Here is a 24994-nt window from a genome sequence, read left to right on the forward strand (position 1 = left end):
ATTGACAATGCACTTAGCCACCCAAGAGCTCTGATGGAGATGTACAAAGAGATGAAGGTTGTTTTCATGCTGCTAACACAATATCTACTCTGCAACCCATGGATCAAGGAGTCATTTTGACTCTCAAGTCTTATTATTTAAGAAATATATTTTGTAGGGCTATAGCTGCCATAGATAGAGATTACTCTGATGGATTGGGACAACATACACTGAAAATCTTCTAGAAAGAATTCACCATTCTAGATGCCATTAAGAACACTCATGATCCATGGGAGAAAATAAAAATATCACTATTAATAGGGGCTTGAAAGAAATTTATTCCAACCTTCATATGCAACTGAGAGTTCAAGACTTCAGTGGAAGAAGGAAATGCAGATATGGCAGAAGCAGCAAGAGAATTAGAATTAGAAGTGGAGCCTGAAGATGTGATTGAATTGCTGCAATGTCGTGATAAAACATTAAGGGATGAGCAGTTTCTTCTTACAGATGAACAAAGTGGTTTCTTGAGATTGAACTCCTGTGAAGATGCTAAGAACATTGTTAAAATGACAAAAAGGACTTAGAATACTGCATAAACTTAGTTAACAGTAGTGGCATGGTTTGAGATGATACATTGCAATTTTGAAGGAAGTTCTACTGTGAGTAAAATGCTATCAAGCAGCTTTGCATGCTATAGAGAAATCTTTTATTAAGGGAGAGTCAACAATGCAGCAAACTTCATTTTGTCTTATTTTAAGACATTTCCATGACCACTCCAATCTTCAGTAACCTTCATTCTGATGAGTCAGCAGCCATCAACATTGAGACAATTCCCTCCACCAGCAAAAAGATTATGATTCACTGAAGGGTCAGATGCTCATTAGCATTTTTTAGCAACAAAGTATTTTTAAATTAAGGCACATATGTTGTGTTTTAGATATAATGCACACTTAATAGACTACAGTATAGTGGAAACATAACTTTTGTATACACTAGGAAGCCAAAAATTTTACGTGACTTGCTTATTGGGACATTTGCTTTATTGCAGTGGTCTGGAACCAAACCTGTAATATCTGTGAGGTATGCCTTATACCTGTTCTAGTATATAAAACTGGCTAACTCTGGGAAGGAAAGAGGTGATCAGAAAGACTGACCTTTTAACCTTTTTTATGCAGTATGTCCTCTGTGTCTTTCTATGTGTGCTACTGGTTTGTCATATACTGAAGAAATATTTCATAATAGAACGTTAAGATAGAATATTCAATTATATAATGCCAAGCAATAAGGTAAAAATACAGATCTTCCATGATATGGTCAAATTCCTATTTCTATACTTATTAACATATAAAAGGTATAATCAAATGGCTTTTAAAACTCAAAAGAGAAGTAAGACAATCTAATACATTGATGTTATTATAACTTTAGATATTGATATTCCTAATGCTAAAATGGCACTAAAGTTAAAGATAAGACTATTTTGTGTCATAGTATAGAGTAATTGTTAGTACTTAAGTAATAATAATAGTAGTTATAATATCTAACATTTGTTAAAGTTGCCAAAGGACTGTAATGTGCATTATTATCTCATTGAGCCTCGTAACCGTCCTGTAAATTATGGATGAATATAATACAACTTTAATGGAAATTATCCCCAATTCCCATACTCCAAAAACGAGAACATTAGACACAAATATAATGTTGCATTTAAAAACACATTGTAAATATGAACTGAAACACAGATTTAGAAAATATATTTATCTTAAACTTTACCTCATTGACAGTTTAGAAGGATAAAGTGTACCATATTAACATATCCTATGTACAAGAGCAAATTGTTTATCTATATATAAAACCCTTTCTTGGAATTATTACTATGTACAAATTAAGTCTAATTTGCTCAATGTGTAGTGAATTTATACTAACTAGGGTTAAAAAAAAAATCCCTTCTTTGCTGCAGCGGTGGGTAAAGCTGCCACAAGCCATACTTGTCATCTGCAATGCCACACACGTAGGACTCATAAGACACAATAATAACACAAATTTATTTTTTTCTTTCATTGTCCCTGTAAACCCCTTCAGTGGAGCTTAATGTTTGTTTTTCCTTCCTGGGTGAAATCCCAATCAGAGCCTGTAACTTTTCCTGCCATTATCTGATTTAACTAAGGTCTCCAGCCACATTAGTCTCTCCAATGGATCCAAGATATCCATTCCAGTAACTTTTATGTTCAGACAAAGTAATCATCAAAACTCAAAACCTCATTACAATTTGATGTTCTCTTCTTCATCTTCTTTGTCTTACCAAAGGCAGAAAGACTTCGGAGAAAAAGGGGTGAGAGGCTACCTGGCACCTCTCCTTATCCTTCTCCTCCTTCCTTCTCCTCCACGCTTGGAGCAGGGAGAAGAAGCAAAGGGTGGGCAGAGTCTCACTTTTGTGCTCCTTGTGAGAAGATGGTGAACCGTCCACAGGTTATATCTCCCTCTTCCCAGGAAAAAAACCTTCAGACTAGTCTTTCCTGCCCTCCCAACATACTTCCTATCACTTCAAAGGACCATTGGAAGGGCTCATTTTTGTCAACTTTTATTTTAGGTTCAGGGGATACATGTGCAGGTTTGTTACATGGGTATATTGCGTGATGCTGAGGTTTGGGATACAAGTGATCTTGTCACCCAGGTACTGAGCATAATACCCAAAAGTTAGTTTTGCAATTCTCATCCCCTCCTCCCCTCCTCCCTCTATTACTCCCCAGGATCTATTGTTCCCATCTTTATGTCCCTGTGTATCCAATGTTTAGCTCCCACTTATAAATGAGAACGTGTACTATTTGGTTTTCTGTTCATGCATTAATTCACTTAGGATAACGGCCTCTAGCTGTATCTGTGTTTCTCCAAACAACATGGCCTTGTTCGTTTTTATGGCTGCATAGTATTTCATGATGTATATGTACCATATTTTCTTTATCCAGTCCACCCTTGATGGGCACCTAGACTGATTCCGTGTCTTTGCTATTATGAATAGTGCTGCAATGAACATATAAATGTATGTGTCTTTTGGTAGAATGACTTATTTTCCTTTGGGTACATACCCAGTAATGAGATCAGTTAGTCAAATGGTAGCTCTATTTCAGGTTTTGAGAAATCTCCAAACTGCTTTCTATAGTGACTGAACTAATTTACTTTCCTACCAACAGTGTATAAGCGACGCTTTTCTCTAAAACCTTGCCAGCATCTGTTGTTTTTAGACTTTTTAAACTGTCAATTTCAACACTAAGCAGGATAGGCAGAAGGTGAGTGTGGTTGAAGGTGGAAAGTGTGTGAACAAGGAAGGCAGTTCCCTAAATGCAGAAACCAGATGAGACTAATTTGAGAAAATCATTTTCACACACCACTACACCTAAGCCAGCATCTCTGCTTGAACTCTGAAAGCTTTCTTAAAAATTTAGTATCTAATTTCATTTTAATTGTACTGCTTCTCAGGTACCCATTATATTACTTTTATCTTGGTTATCATTACATTTATATGCATATACATTTAGGTATACCTTATGCATATCACATATATGTATTAAAGATATGTGGCATCTTTAAATGAGCTTTTTAAAGGTAATTTTAGTGTTAATGTTACAATTTTTTGAGTAAAAGTAAGTTGACATTGTCACTTTACATTTAAATGTTTGTAAAATTTGTTGTTTCAAATAAAAGAAATTCAACCTTTATAAATGCTGATAAAACTAAATAGGGATGCATAAGGTAACACTTACGTCCTGCATCCCTGGAAACCACCTAACTCTATGTTATCTAATCAGTAAATTCACTATCCACTTGCTACAATCAAAATCTGTTTTTGAATTTCAGACATATCTTTTCCAGTTCCTTGAAGGGAAGAATGGAAATGAGGAGCTTATCATTCACCTTACACCTTAGGGGAAAAAAATGTACATTTCTATTACAACTTGGGCATCACAGAGCAAGAACAAACATCTGAATTTAGGGTTTCCACATTCTAGTAGACAAGATTTTCCAGCTGACATTTGTCTGGCAACCAGTAGGAAATGATTCCCTTATTATTCTCTGTTTATCTCTGTTGGCAAATGGTGTGGCAATATAAGCATCCTAGGTAGTTTATCTGTCACAGAAGCCAAATGGTTTTAAGACCCAGGGTTCGTGATTTGGTTATGAATGAGAGGTAAGGAATTATTTAATCACAGTTTGGAAAACTCATCATGTGCTTATCTATCTTTGCACTCATAAAGAAGATTACTTGACAAATTCCTGCATTCTACAAAATATGTACTGTGTCTACTTCATTCAAGCTCAATTTTAGGTACTCAGGATAAAAATATAAGGGGAATATTGGTGCCTGCCTTCAGGACTTTATAGAATGGAGATAGGCATGCTAACCAAATGCTATGTATTGTTGCTCTAATAAAGTTACATTCCAGATGTAGAAAGAACTTAAAGCAGGTTGCTGACAGTTACCTGGGAGAATCCAAGATGTATTTAAGGAGCAGAGGAGCCTGGAGCTAAGACTGACAGGATGAATAGGCACTTGGGTGACAGTCAGCAGCAGGCATGACAGATGAAGGGAATATTAGGTGTGAAAACATGAAGAAGTCTGACAGGTTCTGGCAACACTAAGTAATTCAGAAAGAGAAAATGGGATGTAGAATCAGGTAAGGTATAACATTTATGTAAGTTTCTTACTAAGAAGAATCTAGTGTATTATGCAAAAAAACTTAAGGTTTTTATTCTGTGATTAAAATAATTAAATTTTCATCTTGTAACTGACCACATATATGTGTTGAATTACACTGAAAAGGACATTGAGGTTGGATTAGAGAAAAGTAAGCATAAAGGAAGAAAGATAACTAAAAAGAGTCATAGCAGAATCCAAGAGAAGAATGAGGAAAGAGGATTAGGGCAGGTCAGTGAGGATGGAAAGGAGGGGACCAAGAAGGAGATGCTTGAGGCAGTGAGAACATGTTGAGTTAATGATGATAGATGGTCACCAAGAGGAGAAATCTAAAATGATGCTCTTGTGTTTCTAGACTGGACTGATGAGAGAATGATGTTAACAAGATAAGGATATAAATGGGGAGTTTGTTTTGTTTGGTTTCATTTGGGGTAAGAGTTTGAGAAAAAGAAAGTTCTCTTCAGGTTACATTGAATTCAAAGTTCGTGGATTTCCATGTTGTGGAATAACAATATGTTAAAATCTATATTTTTCTGTTTTGCACGGTTAGAGGATTTTCATGAAATCACTATAAATGATCCAATACAATTGATATCTCATTTTTAACATTTAAGTCACTGATATCAGAATAATTAAGCCAAAAAGCTCTGTTGGGATTGCACAGTTTAAAGAAAATATAAAGTAGTAGTTCTCTAGGCCTTGAACAAAACTATTTGTTAAGGCCAGGTCATCTTTGTTAGTATCATTCGCAAAGGAATTCCCTCACAAATGTTTTTGAATGTGGCTTGTGTGATGCACCCATTCACACTTTCCAGTGGAGTGGAGAGCAGGAAGAGTGAGAAGATTCAGTGATAATAAGGGTGTTACCACCATCAGCTGAATTACAGCAGGGTCAACAGGAAGCTGACACAGCCCCTGGAGTGTAGTAAGATAAATAACATTGCACTTACCAAAATGCATCTGGAGCAGAATATTGGATATGGGTGGAAAGAAGATGTTGATAAATCATGCAGGGTCAAGGTAGAGGTTAATGAGAATCTTACAGGCTATTATCGTATAACATATGGTTGCTAAATCATCTTCCAACAAAGGTGGGTCTTGCACATTCAAGACCTTTCTGGAAAGGGGCATTTAATTTCTGAGTTGGAGCTAACTTGTTTGTTATAACATAAGAAAGAGCTGACTCTTCCTCCATGGTCCTCTTTCTCTGCCGTAGTCTCATTCTCAGTCTCAGTCTCCTCCAAAAACTGTCAAAAGTTTTTCCTGCTTGGAAAGATGCCAACTTACTTGGCCTGCTTGACACTCAATCATTAGTATTCCCAGAGTGCACAGGCATTTAGTCCAGTGAGTCCAAAACTATAAACTTAAAATGCAGTTATTTTTTAAAAGGGCTTGATAGACTGAAAGTTTTTGTTTTTCTTCGCATATTTTTTTCACTTCTACCATGTGCCATTATCTATGGTGTGCTTGCATGTGATAGAAATACCTCTTTTAGGGTCAGTATGTTTTATATTGGTGTGTTTACCTCCAATATCCCAACTTGAACAGGTTTATTATTATGAAAAAGAGGCAATATGCTAGAGATATTAGTACATAAATCATTGTCAGGAAACCAATCCTGTGTTTCAAAGCAGCAAAAAGCTTTTAAAGTATTGATATAGGTGTAGCCTAAAAAGAGGGCAGAATTTTTTCTTTTGTCTTAACTGGATATTTTGTAAGATGTGGCCTCTTTTTAAGGATGAAGAGATTCAATTGATTAAATATTTCTATAAATAGATTCATGCAACAGAAACTGATTAAAGAAAAGCTGTCAAAAGTGAAGTTTTTTTTCTCTAAATATCTGTCATTTCACACATCATTTTAAAATTTCAGACTTGGAAATGTAAATTGTTCTTTTAGAACTAGGCAGTTAACCAAAACAACAACTAAAGCATATTTCAAAAATAGCACACACAGAACAATCATTCTAACTTATGTTAAGAATTTAGAAGAGGAGTAAAGATCTATTGTTTAGGTTGGTCGAATTTGAATATATACATTATGCTGAGACATTTAAATGGTGTACGTTTTTAAACATTATTCAAAAAGTCTTCATTAAGATGTTTATATTCAGCCTATTTTATTGTCCCTTGGATTATGCAGCAAGTTTGCTGGGTGACACACCAAAAATCATCCAAACGACAATGCTGAGCAAAACTTTTTAGGTCATAATTGTTCACCTCATTGTTAAGACATTTCTACATATTCTTCCTAAGTAGGACAAGCTCAGAAGAACAGAATTGAGTGAACAAAAGAAAAAGTCATTTTAAATGGCTAGTTAAGTTAATTTCAATTGTTAAAAATCACTAAAATTTGAGACTTGGTCTGAGACTTGGTTCTGCTATTGGTTGTTTGTGTCGACTTCAAACAAGTTTTAAACCCTTCTCAGTTTTTCGCAAATATAAACAAATGGAAAACAAAACTATTTCTAAGCACCCTCCATATTCTATGTTCAACAGCTCTGTGATAAAAATCAATTTAAATAATGAATTATCGTTCTGTTTATTTCCAAATGTCATACATTTTGAGACAACTCCTCAAATTTTCTTAGTATAGGAATATAAATAAAATTAACTTTCCCTCGGAAGACAAAAATTCTCTTTCCTTTAATGAACAGTCAGTCTACATGATGAAGGCAATAAAACAACAATCAAATTAACCTTATCTGATTAGACACTGTGGTAATTTCTGTGGAAAGCAAGCGGAGGAAGGAAACCTGCATCAAAGAAGGCAGCGGAAAAAGTAGAAAGAAACAGAAATATTCATTAAAAATATTTCTTGTCCAGAAGAAACAATGCAACAGAATGGTTAACAGATTATGAAAACAGACAAGGGTTTGAATTATGGTACCAAAGAGTCCATCCCTTAAACCTCAGTATCCTAATCTATACAATGCAGATAAAAACAGAAACCAACACTGAAATTACTTTAAGGATTAAATGAAGGAATGCATTAAAGGGCTTGGCACAGTGCCTAGCAAGTGCTCAGTATCTGGAATGGGTCTCAAGCATACATTTTAGTCTTGCTAGAAACCTCAGGGATACTTGAGAAATCACCTTTCAGTTTACTAGTCTTACAGAACATGCTGAACATGAACAATGGTAATTTTATAATATTCCCTTGCTAGTGGTGACCAGAGAGATATTTAGAAGCATCTCCAGAGATACCCTAAAGCAAGATGATCACCAGAGGATAGAAGAAAGCAATTTTTTCCATCAGATTCCTCACCCTCATGGGTGATAACATCAAGTAATATAAGTCCCCAAGGAGAATTGTGCAAGAAATATGAAAGTTGTACCTTCATCTGGAATCATGGCACGGCCATATTTGGAAATGCAGGATGTATATACTTTGCCATTAAAATTATTTTATTCTTTAACTTTTCATCACTTGTATTTTCTTTCCATTTTTCCAGCCAGAAGAAAAACCATCAGATTTTGTGTTTCCTCTTAGTACCCTTCATTTGCTTTGGTCAAAGTTCACCGCCCAACCCCAATGTTCTCTAGAAAGTCTCATGAGGTATCTTAAGTAGTGAATCTGAAAATGGTTAGGTCAATCTGGGAAAGAGTACAGAGGGCAAATCAGAGGTGGCCTTAACAAAATATCACTTTCAGGAAGCAGGATTTTCCTGTATTTACTTTCCTTTAGGCTCAACTTCTCAGATTCCTCTCATTTCCTCTTCAATGATATGTTTCCTGCAACCCACAAAACACAATTTGTTTATACTCACTCATTTACAAGTGCATGCTCCACTATCTTATTGGCTGGAGACAAGTAACAATCCCTGCTGAATCATGTTACTTTAAATAACTATCCTAAATCTGTGTTTAACAGTAGCCTGTCGTTTTGTTGTTCACAGTGTCTGTTTTTTAAATAAAGGTAATGCCTGTCTTTTTAGTCAAATATCATCTTTTGCAGGAAATTCAAATGCCCTGAAATATAATTATTTTTGTTATTAACTTAATAGCAAAAGCAACACAATATCCAAAAAAACCTTTAATTTAAATATAATGAACTTTTCAACATTAACCTAATTTTGAGGTACTGAAATTTTAAATATTTTGTTGTTATTTAATTAAGCTTTTCTTAGTGCTAGCAGAGTAAGAATGACAGGCAACTGTCTAAACCTCTAAATGTAACACCTTTGAAAACAACTCTAAGTTGTGCTCACTTTGCTATTGTTTTTAAAAGCAGCACTAGAGTAAATATACTTAATATGTGTTTGTTGAATGATTCTTGCCTAAATCCATACCAAAACCACATAAATCATGGAATGGAAAGTAGATTTGTCTATACTGTTTTGTTTGAAGTGATTTTCTGTAACGATTTAATTTAAATGCTAATTGTTGATTTTCCTCTTCATTTTTCCTCTAGTCTTATTTCCTTGCTCTCCTCCATTGCTGTTTTATCTTTTGGTGAGTGGCAGGAGCTCTTGTTACAAAATTAAAACTTTTTGGACCATTGTATCAGTAGTAAGTATAAGAATAGTATAAAGCTAATTAAATTATTGTGAAATTAAATGAAATAATCAGTGTTGTGGGAAGTCAGGGACCCCAAACGGAGGGACCGGCTAAAGCCATGGCAGAAGAACGTGGATTGTGAAGATTTCATGGACATTTATTAGTTCCCCAAATTAATACTTTTATAATTTCTTATGCCTGTCTTTACTGCAATCTCTGAACATATATTGTGAAGATTTCATGGACACTTATCACTTCCCCAATCAATACCCTTGTGATTTCCTATGCCTGTCTTTACTTTAATCTCTTAATCCTGTCATCTCGTAAGCTGAGGAGGATGTATGTCGCCTCAGGACCCTGTGATGATTGTGTTAACTGCATAAATTGTAGAGCATGTGTGTGTGAACAATATGAAATCTGGGCACCTTGAAAAAAGGACAGGATAACAGCAATGTTCAGGGAACAAGAGAGATAACCTTTAACTCTGACCGCCGGTGAGCTGGGTGGAACAGAGCCATATTTCTCTTCTTTCAAAAGCAAATGGGAGAAATATCGCTGAATTCTTTTTCTCAGCAAGGAACATCCCTGAGAAAGAGAATGCGTCCCTGAGGGTAGGCCTCTAAAATGGCCGCTTCGGGGGGCGGCCGTCTTTTATGGTTGAGCTGTAGGGATGAAATAAGCCCCAGTCTCCCATAGTGCTCCCAGGCTTATTAGGATGAGGAAATTCCTGCCTAATAAATTTTTGGTCAGACCAGTTGTCTGCTCTCAAACCCTGTCTCCTGATAAGATGTTATCAATGACAATGTGTGCCTGAAACTTCATTAGCAATTTTAAATTCGCCCCGGTCCTGTGGTCCTGTGATCTTGCCCTGCCTCCATTTGCCTTGTGATATTCTATTCCCTTGTGAAGCACGTGATCTCTGTGACCCACACCCTATTTGTACATTCCCTCCCCTTTTGAAAATCACTAATAAAAACTTGCTGGTTTTGCAGCTCAGGGGGCTTCATGGAACCTGCCGACATGTGATGTTTCCCCCAGAAACCCAGCTTTAAAATTTCTGTTTTTTGTACTCTGTCCCTTTATTTCTCAGACCAGCCGACACTTAGGGAAAATAGAAAAGAACCTACGTTAAATATCAGGGGAAAATTTCACTTGATATCTGGCTGAATTTCCCCCAATAAATCAGCTCTGACTAATCACAACAGCAACAAAGATTCATGACAACACATGTAGGTGTATTGGGATGCTGCTGTTTAGAAAGGCACCTCACTTATAAACCTGAGCAATGAACAAACAGATACTCTCCCAAATTTGTTTCTATCTTTTCAAAGTTACAGAAGATGCAAAAAAATCAACTATGTATGCCATGAAAATATTTAACATTAGCGTATTGAAGTGGAAGAATCCAGGAGACCACAAAGCTAACACTTCCTAATCCAGAGAGTCCACAAAGAAACATTTGAACACTGTGATAAATTTGTAAAGAAATAGTAACCCTATGCAGTTGTCACACATTAAGAGGGAGGAAGCAACTCTCCCACTGTTCATTGTCTGTCATTTCTGTTACGTGTTCACGGTGGTTTTGCCTTGTGAATTTGTAGTGGCAGCATTCTCCCGATCTGATGTTGGGGAAGAGAAGACGAGAATATGTAGTTAATGAGTCATTAAGAACCAGAGAAATTAAGTAGAATAAGAGATCTCAGAGAGATGTCAGAATCATTAAACCCAGTGTGCCTGTTGACTTCTATCTGCCTTGAGATGTAGCATAGCAAGGAGCAATAGACTTCAAAACAGGAACTAAGAAGGCTGACTCTGGCCATTGAAAGAGGCTTTTTTAATATGGACAATGATGATTGATAAGGAGCAATGTTACTCATATTCAAGGTTGTTTCTAGCCAGATACTAGAGTAGAGGAAAATGCTGAATGTCACTGAACTTTGTGACCAACCTCAGCAATCAAAACAACAGCATGAAGGTAAAGCTATAGAAATTCAGATGTACAAAGATCTCCAATGTGGAAGAGGAATGAAGAAGTAGCTCCAGTATAGTGTTAGGCTACTAGTAGCTCAAAAAATATTTTTGAAGATGTAGAAAAAAACTTTCTTTGTCTACAGGGTTAGCAACAAGAGGGTGACATATCAGTTTAGCATAATTCAATAAGAGAGGGGAATACTAGAAGATCTTCAACCCCTGCTAGTTTAAGGAGGCATTCTCAGATCCAGCAGCAGTATCTGCCAAAATTTTTGTTGACTTTTCAAGCCCAAAACCAAGCCACAACATAGATAAACCTTGAAAACACTATACTCACTGGAAGTGGCTGGTCATAAAAGACCACATATTTCATTCCATTAATAAAAAATATCAGGACTAGGTAAATCTAGTGATTGCCTCAGTCTGTGGGTTAGGGGAAAATGGGGAGTGACTGCTAATGGGTATGGGGTTTTGTTTGGAATTATGAAAATATTCTGAAATTAGGTAGTGATGATGACTGTACAACTCTGTGAATATACAAAAAATAAATTGTATACTTTAAATGGGTGAATTATATGATATGGAAATTTCATCTCAATGAAACCGTTATAGAAAAGCAACAGGAAAAGAATATTACCCTCAATCTTAGAAGCAATCTGAGAATTACACTGATTGGAGTATTGACTGCTAGCGTAATCCCTGTTGTAGGAAAATGACATGCATAGATTGGAAAAGCCTAAATAGTGCAACTCGGCTTATAAGACTATATATGGGATCAGTTTCTAAAGTACCACGTGGATCTCCAAGTGTAATTCAGGAGTTTTTGAAAAGAGGTAGTAGAGACAAAGAATATTCTAGTGGCATATACAAGTGTCCATCAAATATAGCAATCACTTTTTTTTCTTTCATGGAAGAAGACAAGGATTATTTCACTTCTTGGTAAAGAGAAAGAATATCACATGCTTTTTTGAAGCCTCACAAAAACTTAGTCACATAATGTTTTGTACTTTCCATTTTTTGTTGAAGAAGCTGAGAAAATAAAGAGGCTGAATAATTTGAGCAATCCAGAGCCTATAGAGGACAGAATCTAGATTAGAATCCGGGACTTTCAGCACTAAACCCTGTGGTTTTTCTGTATATCATGCTGTCTGACTATGGCAGGATTCTGCTAATTTAACATACTTAGAGTTCTAGCTTTCTTCGAAGCCAACATCCCTCTGGAAATGACTGCACAATGGGGAGAAACATTCCACTTTGATGTTCTTATTTAGTTGATTTAGCAAAATGAACATAGCTTGAAAAACATGGCTTTAATTCTTTTTTTTCTCTGCCTGTGTTATACTAGAACCTATATTATACTTGCATAATGCAAGAGCACTACACTTCTGTTGTAAGATTTGGCGCAGTCACTCTGAAAATTGGCAGTACTGACTTAAGGCAAACAAAAGAATACTCTATGGCCAAACAGTTCTACTCCTGGTGAAAAAAACAACAGAAATGCATGCACATGTTCACCAGATAACATTTACAAGAATGTCCCTCATAGAACTACTGGTGATAGAAAAAAAAAAAAAGGCTTGGAAATGATCCATAGGAAATATATTTGTTATGCTCAATTAGTGAAATACTATACAGCAATCTCCCCAAAATCTGCATACACTGCAACATCAATAAATCTTTAAAAAAACACTATTGAGACAAAAGAAAAGGTATGAAGGGTCTCCAACAAGTTCATGGAAAATGTGTATTTTGAAAAAAAAATACGAATTTTGAAACTTTCGCAACAAAATAAACTTGTACTAACCTGTTACATAACATGTCTAAACTGGATCCAGTTTGAGGCACTAAGAAGAATAATAGACATCAGTCTGAAAAGAGAAGCATGAATTCTATTAAAGTTGAAACAAAAATAAACATCACATTAATGGTGAAGCTTGGGTTGAAGAATGGTGAAATCCTTTATGCCTTACAAAAAGTGTGTAAGGGCAATGCCCCCAAAGAAATTAGCAGTTTACAAAATGGATAACTTCTTTGAATATGGAGCAAGACGATGCAGAAGATAAAGCCTACAGTGGCACGCCAGTCACATCAATTCGTGAGGAAAAAAATAATTTTGCTTGTGCCCAGATTGAACAGGACTGACGATTAACAATGTAAACAATAACCAATGCCATAGACTTCTCTCTTGGCTCAGCGCGCACATTTCTAACTAAAAAATTAAGGTTGAGCAAAATTTTTATTCAATGGGTGCCAAAATCGTTGTGTTCAGATCAGCTGCAGGCAAAAGCGGAGATTTCAATGGAAATTTTAAAGATGCGGGATCAAGATCCTGAAGCTTTTCTTCAAAGACTTGTAGCAGGAGATGAAACATGGCTTTTCCCATAAGATTCTGAAGACAAAGCACAATCTAAGCAATGGCTGCCAAGAGGTGGGAGTGGCCCAGTTAAAGCAGTAGCAGACCCACGAGGAGCAAAGGTGACGGCAGCAGTGTTTTGCGATGCTCGGGCATTTTACTTTGGTCTGAAGACCAAAGAATGATCACATCTGCTTATTATGAGAGAGTTTTGAGAAAGTTAGCCAAAGCTGCAGCAGGGACATGTCCAGGAAAACTTCACCAGAGAGTCCTTGTCCACCTCTACAATGCTCCTCCTCATTTCTCTCAGCAACAAAGGCAATTTTGTGAATTTCAATGGGAAATCATTAGGCATCCACCTTACCGTCCTGATTTGGCTTCTTCTGACTGCTTTTTGTTTTCTAATCTGAAAAAAAATATTTTAAGGGCACTCGTTTTTCTTAAGAATGTTAAAAAGACTTCATTAAGATGATTAAATTCCCAAGATCTTTAGGTTTTTTTTGTTGTTTGTTTGTTTTTTCTCGAGGTGCAGTCTTGCTCTGTCACCCAGGCTAGAGTGCAGTGCTGCAGTCTCGGTTCACTGCAACCTCCGCCTGCCAGGTTCAAGCAATTCTCCTGCCTCAGCCTCCTGAGTAGCTGGGATTACAGGCATGCGCAACCATGCCCGGCTAATTTTTGCATTTTTAGTAGAGACGGGGTTTCACCATGTTGGCCAGACTAGTCTCGAACTCCTGACCTTGTAATCCGCCCACCTCGGCCTCCCAAAGTGCTGGGATTACTGGCGTGAGCCACCGCGCTGGGCCGATTTTCAGTTTTTTAGTGATGGACTAAATGGCTGGTACCATTACTTCCAAAATTGTCTTGAACTTGATGAAACTTATCTGGGGGTATAAAGTTATATTTTTTATTTTTCTTTTAATTCCATATTTCCACAAACTTCTAAAGTTCCCTTGTATAATTCTGTACTCACAGTATGATACAATATGATTTCATTTATAAAGTTCAAAACCAGAAAAACTAATATTGTAGAAAAACTAATCTAATTACCAATCTAATATCCTAAAAACTAATCTAATATCAGGATATTGGTTACCCTCGGGTGCATAGGGAGTATAGTACTTGAAAGTAAAAATGAGAGTGACTTCTCAGATACCAGCAATGCTGTTTCTTATATGGGTGCTGGTCTCATGAATATGTTTGCTCAATAAAAAATTGAACAAGCTATACACTTACCATTTTTTGTCTTTTTATGTATATATAAATATACATATTCAAATATACATATTATATGAGTTCCTTCAGGAGAGTCATCCTGAATTCCTAGCTTTCTGCCAACAATTTCATATATAAAATATGCATGTGAGAGAGCTTCTCTCTTACACAGTGAAGCAGGTGCTGGGAGAAATCCTGTACTATAATAATTTATGTGTTTGTTTATTTCAACCTAGCATCTATGCACAATAAGACAACATGGCATTGTACACAAATGACACATTGCCCCAGGATATATACCTAAGGATACCTGACATCATCTGAGAGGTCATTTGGCACTACCAAGATACAATATAGTAAAAGAAACAAATGTGTGCTTGTGATAATATTCCAGAAAGTATTCACGAGCAGGTGGCACTGAGGAGGTAACATTTCACAACAGCCAACAGTGTGGAGCACTTGGGCCACAGCTTTCTTGGCAAGAAGAAACAGTAAATGCCAAGCCCCTGGGGTGAGAAGGAACATGGAATTTATGAAAAATAGAACAAGGCCTGTTTGTTAGCTACAGTGGTGGCACAGAGAAATGACAGAGATGGTCAGACAGGCAGGCAGTAGTCGGGTAATTCAGGTCAATGCAGGTCAGAAAAATGAATTTTAGTGCAACTCTGAGGTCATTGGAAGGTTAGAGAAGGTCAGTGACATGATCTAATGGATATTTTTAAAAGTTTACTCTGTCTGCTATATGGAAAACAGATTGTAGGGAAGTAAAGTAGAAGCAGAAAACCTCGTACAAAGCTACTGCTGTAGGGCCAAGGAGAGGGGAGGCCAGCTTAGAGTTGACAGGATGCACTGAAGGTATGTAGAGGGGTGACGCACATGGAAGAATCAAATGTTTGAGGGCTTGAGCAAATCAAAGGATGGTAGTGCCACTTACAGAGAAAATTTTGGAAGGTCAAGATCAATTGAAAGGATGCGTATGTAGCATTTAGCACTAAGTGTGGAAATGTTTAGTTAATGTCAGGTTTTGTTATTGTTATCACTATTGTATTGTCTGTATTGATAGACTTTAAAACTGTTAAAATAATATATGATCTGTACACTTGACAATGGTAACTGTAGAAAGCCCCTTGCAAGGTTCCTCAACATCAGCATTTGTACTTGAAGGGAATTCTGAAAGGAGCTTCCATTTTAGGGCTGATACTGCTAAAAATTTAGAAACGTAAATGATTTCTCTCAAGGCCAACTTTATTCCAAAGCCAGAGTGTCCTGAAACCCACTCTTATGAATATGAAATCTTTTTAAAACTGCTCTATAGTGAAGTTGAAATATTATTTATAACCAAAATTGGCAGTAGTCATTTGCACCATCTCAGATAAATAGTACAGCTCATATAAGATGGAAATAGCTCTCTATTTCACAAATGCTAAAGCTTCTTCCATTTCTTCTGTGCTGCTAAATGGTTGAAGCTGAAGTGCATAATCTATCTGTAGTTAAGCAGAGTACATTGGTGAGCCGTTTTTTAATGACAGGTAGAATCAGAAAGAGTAAAGAACTAAACTTCTTTGTATGTCAGAGCAAATTGAATTGAGTTTTCAAGAAGCTTCAAATTTTTATAAAGGCTTATGAATGTGAGATCGCAGACAGAATCTCAGGATCATGAGACAGAAAAGGGGTTGAGTGGATCAGCCATGTAAATATCACTTACCACCACCATCATCAGAAACCAATTCTGTAGCGAAGACCACAGACACAAATGCTTTGCATGAAACTTGTTTTAATTTGTGTTTTTGTAGAAAAGAATATAATGCAAAAATTGATTTTGTTAACAGGGAGCAGAGGGAGCTAAGTAAATGAGGAGGTAGCAGATTACTTAGAGGATAAGTAATAAAATGTGATTTGAAATACACATGCACACGTATAATTAATTAAAATTCAGCAGTAACTGTATTAATTATTTACTATTTATATCTACAAAAGATTATATTTTTCAGGAAGGATAATTTTATCATTAGCATTATTTAGAATTGCTAACAAATGGTGATAATTAAAAATATCAATTTTGAGTTAGTTTTATTATTGTTTTTAAGTGATGTAATGACAATGCCTGCACTGGGAGTGGACCATATGCACCTTCTAACCATGGGTATGCCACTGTGAGAAAAAAATTTGTAGACAAATGGGTTAGTAAAAATATTATACACACACACACACATACATACATATATATCACGGAGCAGGTGACCTCAGCAAACATCTGTGTCACACATTGAGAATGTATTAGATGTAAAATACTGAAATGTATCATAAGATCAATAATTCCTAAGAGCTGAAAAAACACAAGCCAGCAAATATAAACATTTTCTTTATAAAGGTAAATTTTACCATTTGTACAGAATAATTTGACTTTCAAAATGCAAAGTAATACTGCATACAATATTCAGAAGTAAAAGGCTTAACTTCTATACCCAATATCAGACTTCATATTAAGATAGTCATTTCCCATGATGTTTATATGAAATAAGTGTAATAAAATTTTTCATTGTGCATTATGGAAATTCATGTGAAAATAGACAGAAGACACCTTACAGATACAAAAACTCAAGTTCTCATAAAGCTGTAAATCTCATTTTTTAATAAAGAATAATGATGTATCTAAGTACAAACTTCTTAAACTTCAAACTGTTCTCTTACATTTATTTTCTAATCACGTAAAAGACATACACAAAAATGTCATGAGTTAAAATGCAGAATTTGCTTAAGTTTTAGCTTTAATGTCATTTGTCTCTGTAAAGTGACTCTTTTCTTTATGTGAGCAAAAATTTCAGTCAATTTATTACACATGCAGAAAACCTTCAGAAAGTTTCTCTTCTCATGTGGACAAGTTTCCCCATAAGGGCTTTCAATAGTTATTCTGCACAGTTCTTTACATTCTGTTCATAATTTGAGGGAGGTGAAAAACAGAACCTAGAAATCTGAATTTATACAATTGAGAAAAAAATAATTGAGAGTGGTTGAGACATCTTTATGCCATTGTACAGGTGAGAAATATTTGATTTAAACCCCAGTGTGGCCCATGACAAATAAGTGTCAAACTGGATTCATATTGTGAATTTCTTATGTTTCTCTGATGTAAAAGAAATCATTTAGTTTCTAAATGATTTGGTGTAGCCCTTTTAGATTTTAGACATTCTAAACCACTCTGTTGGATTTGGTTTCCTACTAGCCTGCTTACAGTGAATACAGTTCACTTCACCAGCATGTACCCAGTGAAAGAGTAGGAACCTTGCCTCCCTTCAGCTTCCAGTTCCAGCTAACCAGTAGATGTATCCTCCAATTCATTACATGAATCCTAATGAATTGGCTTTGTTCTATGATCTTGGTAATATTAACCTGTCATCCAATGTTAAAGTTTCTTCAATAATTGTGTATGCTTGAACATATTATTTCAAGTTATTGGGTCTCAAAGTACTCTTTGGTAAATGGGGGAGGTCAGGAAGTAGACATATTCATGTGCTATTCTATGTGTGAGCAATGAAATAAATCATTGCCATATTTGATAAATCAGTCATTCGGAAGGGACAAGAAAGCAATATATTGATTATTCATATACTAATTCATTTATTCATTAGAATATGATTCAAAGCTCCATGCAAACAGGAGACTAGTTTTTCTTCCTTTCCATCTCCAATACAAGAAACAGTGCCTGGCAAGTATGCTTATATCTGAAAGACACAAAGATACATTAAAAAAATACAATAAAATAAGGCAACATCTTACCTTTAAGAATGTCACTACTTCATAAGCACTCTAGCTGCATTACAGTGAAAGAAGCTTTGGGGAAAAAAAAAAATCTCAGAAAGTCAGAGTTTCTCCTTCCATTTTGAAACCTACTTAATATATGATCTTTGGCATCATTTAGCCTCTAGGGGTCTAAGTTTATTCATCTGAAAATTGAATAATGTGAATTACATGAGAATAATATATTCACTTAAGCCATGTATAACAGAAAGCTTAAGTAAGTAATCAAGGCTTAAATAAGATGAGTATTTTTCCCTTCAAGTAATGAGAATTCTATGGTTAGCAATTTAAGGCAGGCCTAACAGTTCCATGATACCATCAGGGGCCCAGGTTCTTCCTGTTTCTCTGCTCAACTATCCTTAGCATGTTCTTCTTACTGTATGGTTGCAGGTAACAGTTGGAGCTCCAGTATCCAAACCATACTCCAGGAAGAAAGATGGGAAGAAGAAAATGTAAAAGGATTATTCTGGTTGAGTTGGCTTCCTTGTAACGAGTTAGGCACATTGTATACTTTCTCTTAGATCTCAATGGGTAGAACTATATCACATGTTTACAAGGGACGCTGGGAAATGTATTTTTTTCAAGGTGGTCACTTTTATATATTCAACAAAATCAGAGCTCTGTTTGTAAAGAGATATGGAGAAATAAACATTGAGTAAGAAACTAGATGTTTTAGTCACAAGTGCAATCCACTTATATAATTAAAAATTTGTTGCATGGGCATTTAACATTAAGTATTTTACAGTGGTTGAGATGGACAGAAATGGGAATTCATCAAGGAATACATTCCTGCTCCGAATGCCTTGATAAAAAGATAATAAAATAATACTTATAAACTTTGTTCCATCAGCATGGCCTATATTAGAAGCCTAATAAAAAACTTGGTGCAGAAATCATACGGCTAGCCTGTATTCCAGAGATGGAAATGATGACTTTACCTTGTAATTGGTGGAGCAGGGCAGAAATCACTACAGCCAACTTTGAAAACAATTTTGTGCATTTCTTAAGGCCATTGGTGCTATTGTAATAGGCTAAGCAGTAAAATAACTGCCTGATATGCTTATCTTCCTTACCACAGTTAAAATTCTTTAAAGTAGAGGCTCACTGCAAGATAGCACCCTGATATTTTACTAATTTTAAACTTTTCACATACATTTTTTCAGGGGTAGTTGCCCCATGAAAAGCACTAAATGTTCTATCATTTGCTACATTGCTATAATGTACCATGTGACCCAATTCTGTATATTTCAAATGGGGCATCTTGTTTATAACAGGTAATTTTTTCTAAGTTACCTCCTGTTTAAAATTAGGATAATACTGTCTACCTTATTAATAACAAAGTTTCTGTATTAGATGAAATAACAGATGTTAAAGGTCTTCACAAGCTGCAAATTATTATACAAATAAGAGTTGTTGCTATTGTTATACTTTGCTTTGTCTCATTTTGGACCTGCTCTATCAACATTACTCTTTCTCGGAAGAAAATTCTTTGCTAAAACTTTGTGGCACTTCATAACAATATACCATCTTTTTACGGCATGGCAAGTCTTTGTAACTCAAATAAAAGTAAAAAAGATTAAATAAAGAAATAACTTTATTTCCTCCTGAAAATTCTCCCCTAATGTGCCTTTTTACTTATTACCCTCACATCTCACTGCACTAACCAATCTGAATTTCAAAGTATATTTGACATTATTTATTCATTTCTATAATTTATGTTCTTTGTTTTTTATACATAGCCTTACTCAAATAATTTATTTACAGGAAATTCAGTTATTAGTTGTAATGAAGGGAAACAGTACATTGATAATCTAAAAGTGTGTTAAGGGCAGTTTATATTTGGTTTTTGAATGAAATTTTTCAGAGGATTTGCTTTCCTAATTATATTTTTTTCTTGCTAGACTTAAGCTTTATTTGCATTCCTTGGACAGAGGAGGAGGAGATACTTAGGAGCATTCTGAGTACAGAGAGAAGATTGTCTGGATATAAACAAAACTCTATCATGGAGAAGTCACACAATTAAAAAATACACTGATCATCAAGAGTTGATTGCATAATACACTTGCTTTTGTTCATTCCATTTCTCTTTAATATTATAAAGTCTTTCCATAGAGGGACTAGTTGCATACAAATTCTGTAAATACTAAATTGAAATGTACTATACAGAGCCCTTAGGGTGAATATCATCAATAACTCTTAGTGGCAAGAATATAGTTACCAAATTCTGATGCTGACTCAAAAGCTAACAAAATGATGTGATTTTATTGTGCCTTTTATCCTGTCTTTCCGATACAAATGTGTGTCTGTATGTGTCTCTGCAGAAAGGGAGAGAGGAAGAGAAGATGGAGGAAATAGCAGTAAAGGAATGAATGGAAATTGAAAGAAAATCATGTGCCGACTGATTTTATTTTATGCCAAAATTCACAGTAGCATAAACAAAGGTTTCATGGGAGAAAAACAATAAGATAAATATATAAACATATTTCATAAACATTAAGTGATTTTGGAGTTTACCTCAATAAATATAATTGGACACTTATTGCTTTTATTTAATTTAAAGCAGGATATACACTAGCTGTCTCTTAGCCAGGCTCATTTATAAACTATTAATGATTTAATTTGCATTTTCATCAAGAAAGGAAAAAAATAGTTATTGCACAGGTCTCTTTTTCTCCAGACACTGAGTCATTATTTAATTAAGTACTATTTATAGTTTTACATACCCCATTTGCATTTTTATCTAGGCCCTGCATTTGAGAAAACATATATTTAATTTATATCTCATATATTTTTTAATCTAGTTATATGCAGATAATTAGCTTTTTTTGTCTGTTTGTTTTAGAGACGGAGTCTCACTCTTTCTCCCAGGCCGGACTGCAGTGGCGCTATCTCGGTTCACTGCAAGCTCCGCCTCCCGGGTTCATGCCATTCTCCTGCCGCAGCCTCCCGAGTAGCTGGGACTACAGGCGCCCACCACCGCGCCCGGCTAATTTTTTGTATTTTTAGTGGAGACAGGGTTTCACCATGTTAGCCAGGATGGTCTCGATCTCCTGACCTCGTGATCCGCCCGCCTCGGCCTCCCAAAGTGCTGGGATTACAGGAGTGAGCCACTGCACCTGGCCATCATTAGCTTTTTTATACTGCTATGTTTTCTGTAAATTCTTTAACTCACAGATAATGGCTTTACTTCCTTTTCTTTGAAAATAATGTGGTTAATAAGTTAGAGACCAAGAGAAAAACAAAATGTTCTGTACAGCATTGTAGTCACTTAGTTCACAGATTCCACATTTTAAAGTAATTGCGATTTTACTATATACCGTGTGTTGTTTCCATTTTTTTTTTTTACATGGGCTTGATTTTCCCACTGCATGTCTCCTTTTAAGAGCTATGTAAGTAGTTTACCATGTTTTGAAAAACTCCACAAACTCCTCATTAAAGCTTCAGCTAACATAAAAGAACATTATTAAAATGGAAGAAATTGATATAATATTTAAACTCAGGAGAATGTGATCATTATCTACAATTATATGAACAATTGTTTTCAGAAAACATAGGCAGAAACAGAAGTATAAAATTTCAACAATGAAAATTGATTTTGAGTATTTATTAGGGAAACCGTATGAAAGTCTTTAAACTCTGTGATACCATTCTGAGCTAGGTAAAGTAACTCCTTTGTGTAGAGTAGTTTATTCATTTCTTTAAAGAACATGAAAGCAAGGTGCCAGGGGAAAAAATCTATGTCTATCTGTTTATATATCTATATAATCTATGTAGAATATCTATAGTGCATATACTTTTTAAAAAGTTGGAAAACTTACCAACACTTCACCAGACTGGTCATGTCTCCCCAACATATACTTTTTATTCCATTTCTGTCCTCAACTAATGGTAGGAGAAATCTCCAAGCTCACCTTCCCCCAAACAAACAAAAACAAAAAGCGAAAGAAACAAAAACCCGAGCAGGCTCAGGGAACCAGGAATTAGAGCTTCATTATTGTTGGAGCATCGGCCCCCTGGACCTGGAGACAAGGCTGAGAAGCTGGGAGGTAGACAGCCAAATACAAAGCTACAAAGAGTCACAGCAGACAAGCTGGAGGTCTGGCCTGAGTCTGGAAGCCCATAGTCATATAATCATAGGAGGTGTAGTAAGGTGATGCAGTGATCCTGAGACACTTCCTCTGAGTCAGAATCTTTGAAGGGTGCTGTTGCCAGAATTAGAAACAAACAACGTCTGGAGGAAACTTTGCACAGGATACCTGCAGGATTAAGATCATAAAGATTACTAAACAAACTATAACCTTATCCTCTGTGATGATAAACAGCAGAAAAAAGTTGCAAAGATTTTGAAACAAGGGCTGGAGATTTTGGAAATGTCTGATACAGAGTGTAGGGTAGCTAGAGAGAAAGGGTAGGTCACCTACCAAGGGATCCCTATCAAACTAACAGTGGACCTCTCAGCTGAAACCCTACAAACCAGAAGAGATTGTGGACCTATATTCAACATTCTTGATAAAAATCTTCAACCAAGAATTTCATGCTATCCAGCTAAACTAAGCTTCATAAGTGAAAGAGAAATAAGATCCTTTTCAGATAAGCAAATGTTAAGGGACTTCATTACCACCAGACCTGTCTCACAGGAGAACTTGAAAGGAGCATTAAATATAGAAAGACCACTACCAGCTAATACAAAAACATTGAAACACACAGAGCAGTATCACTGTAAAGTAACCACACCCACAAGCCAACATAATAACCAGCTAATAGCATAATGACAGGATCAAATCTACACATTTAAATACTAACCTTGAGTGTAAATGGACTAAATTCCCCACTTGAAAGGCACACAGAGTACAAGCTGGATAAAAAAGGAAGACCCAATGGCATGCTGTCTTTAAGAGACCGATCTCCCATGTAATGACATCCATAGGCTCAAAATAAAGGGATGGAGACAAATCTACCAAGCAAATGGAAAACAGAAAAAAGCAGGGGTAGCAGTCTTAATTTCGGACAAAACAGATTTCAAACCATCAAAGACCAAAAAAAGACAAGGAAGGGCATTACGCAGTGGTACAAGGTTCAGTTCAACAAGAAGAGCTAACTATCCTAAATATATATGCACCTAACAGAGGAGCATTCAGATTCATAAATCAAGTTCTTAGCAACCTACAAAGAGACATCACAGACTCCCACACAATAATAGTAGGAGACTTCAACACTTTACTGACAGTATTTGGCAGATGGCTGAGGCAGAAAATCAACAAACATATTCAGGGCCTAAACTCAGCATTGGACCAAGCGGATCTGACAGACTTGTTTAGAAATCTTCACCCCAAAACAATAGAATATACATTCTTCTCATTGCCACATGGTACATCATCTAAAATTGACCAATAATTGAACATAAAACAACCTCAACAAATGTAAAAGTACTGAAATCATACCAAACACACTCTCGGAACACAGCACAATAAAAATAGAAGTAAACACAATGAAAATCTCTCAAAACCATACCATTATATAGAAATTAAACAACATGCTCCTGAATGAATTTTAGGTAAATAATGAAAAAAAAAAAGCAGAAATCAAGGTTTTTTGAAAATAATGAGAAGGATACAATATATCAGAATCTCTTAAACACAGCTAAGGCAGTGTTAAGAGGGAAATTCAGCCAGGTGGGTTGGGGGCAGTGGTTCACACCTGTAATCCCAGCACTTTGGAAGGCCAAGGTGGGCGGATCACAAGGTTAGGAGATCGAGACCATCCTGGCTAACACGGTGAAAACTTATCTCTACTAAAAATACAAAAAATTAGCCAGGCATGGTGGCACATGCCTGTAGTCCCAGCTACTTGGGAGGCTGAGGCAGGAGAGTTGCTTGAACCCAGGAGGGTGGAGCTTGCAGTGAACTGAGATCACACCACTGCTCTCCAGCCTGGGCGACAGAGTCTCAAAGAAAAAAAAAGCGGGGGGGTGGGTGGGGGTGGGGGGGTGGGTGATGGGGGGAAAATTCATAGCACTAAATGCCCACATCAGAAAGTTAGAGATTTAAAATTAACAACCTAACTTCACAACTGAAAGAATTAGAGAAGCAAGAACAAATCAACCCCAAGCTAGCAGAAGACAGGAAATAACAAAAATCAGAGCTAAACTGAAGGAAATCAAGACATGCAAAACCATTCAAAAGAACAATGAATCCATGAGTTGGTTATTGAAAACATTAATGAAATAGGCCACCAGCTAGACTAATTAAGAAGAAAAGAGAGAAGATCCAAATAAACACAATTAAAAATGATGAAGGGAATGTTACTACTGACTGCACAGAAATAAAAACAGCCATCAGAAACTAGTATGGGCACCTCTACGCACACAAAATAGAAAACCTAGAAGGATGGATAAATTCCTGGACACATACACCTTCCCAAAACTCAGCCAGGAAGAAACTGATTCCCTGAACATACCAGTAACAAGTTCAAAAAAAAGCCCCAGGACCTGAT

General features: G+C 36.0%; 1 annotated feature.

Annotated features, from left to right (window-relative positions):
- Positions 9676-10177: an enhancer, noted in NCBI's record as "NANOG hESC enhancer chr18:28395882-28396383 (GRCh37/hg19 assembly coordinates)". NCBI's record gives its function as "activates a minimal SCP1, AML or CMV promoter by ChIP-STARR-seq in naive H9 embryonic stem cells {active_cell/tissue: H9 hESC(naive)}" and the evidence as "EXISTENCE:reporter gene assay evidence [ECO:0000049][PMID:30033119]".

This window comes from Homo sapiens, chromosome 18 (assembly GCF_000001405.40).
Source record: "Homo sapiens chromosome 18, GRCh38.p14 Primary Assembly".
Lineage (NCBI taxonomy): Eukaryota > Metazoa > Chordata > Mammalia > Primates > Hominidae > Homo > Homo sapiens.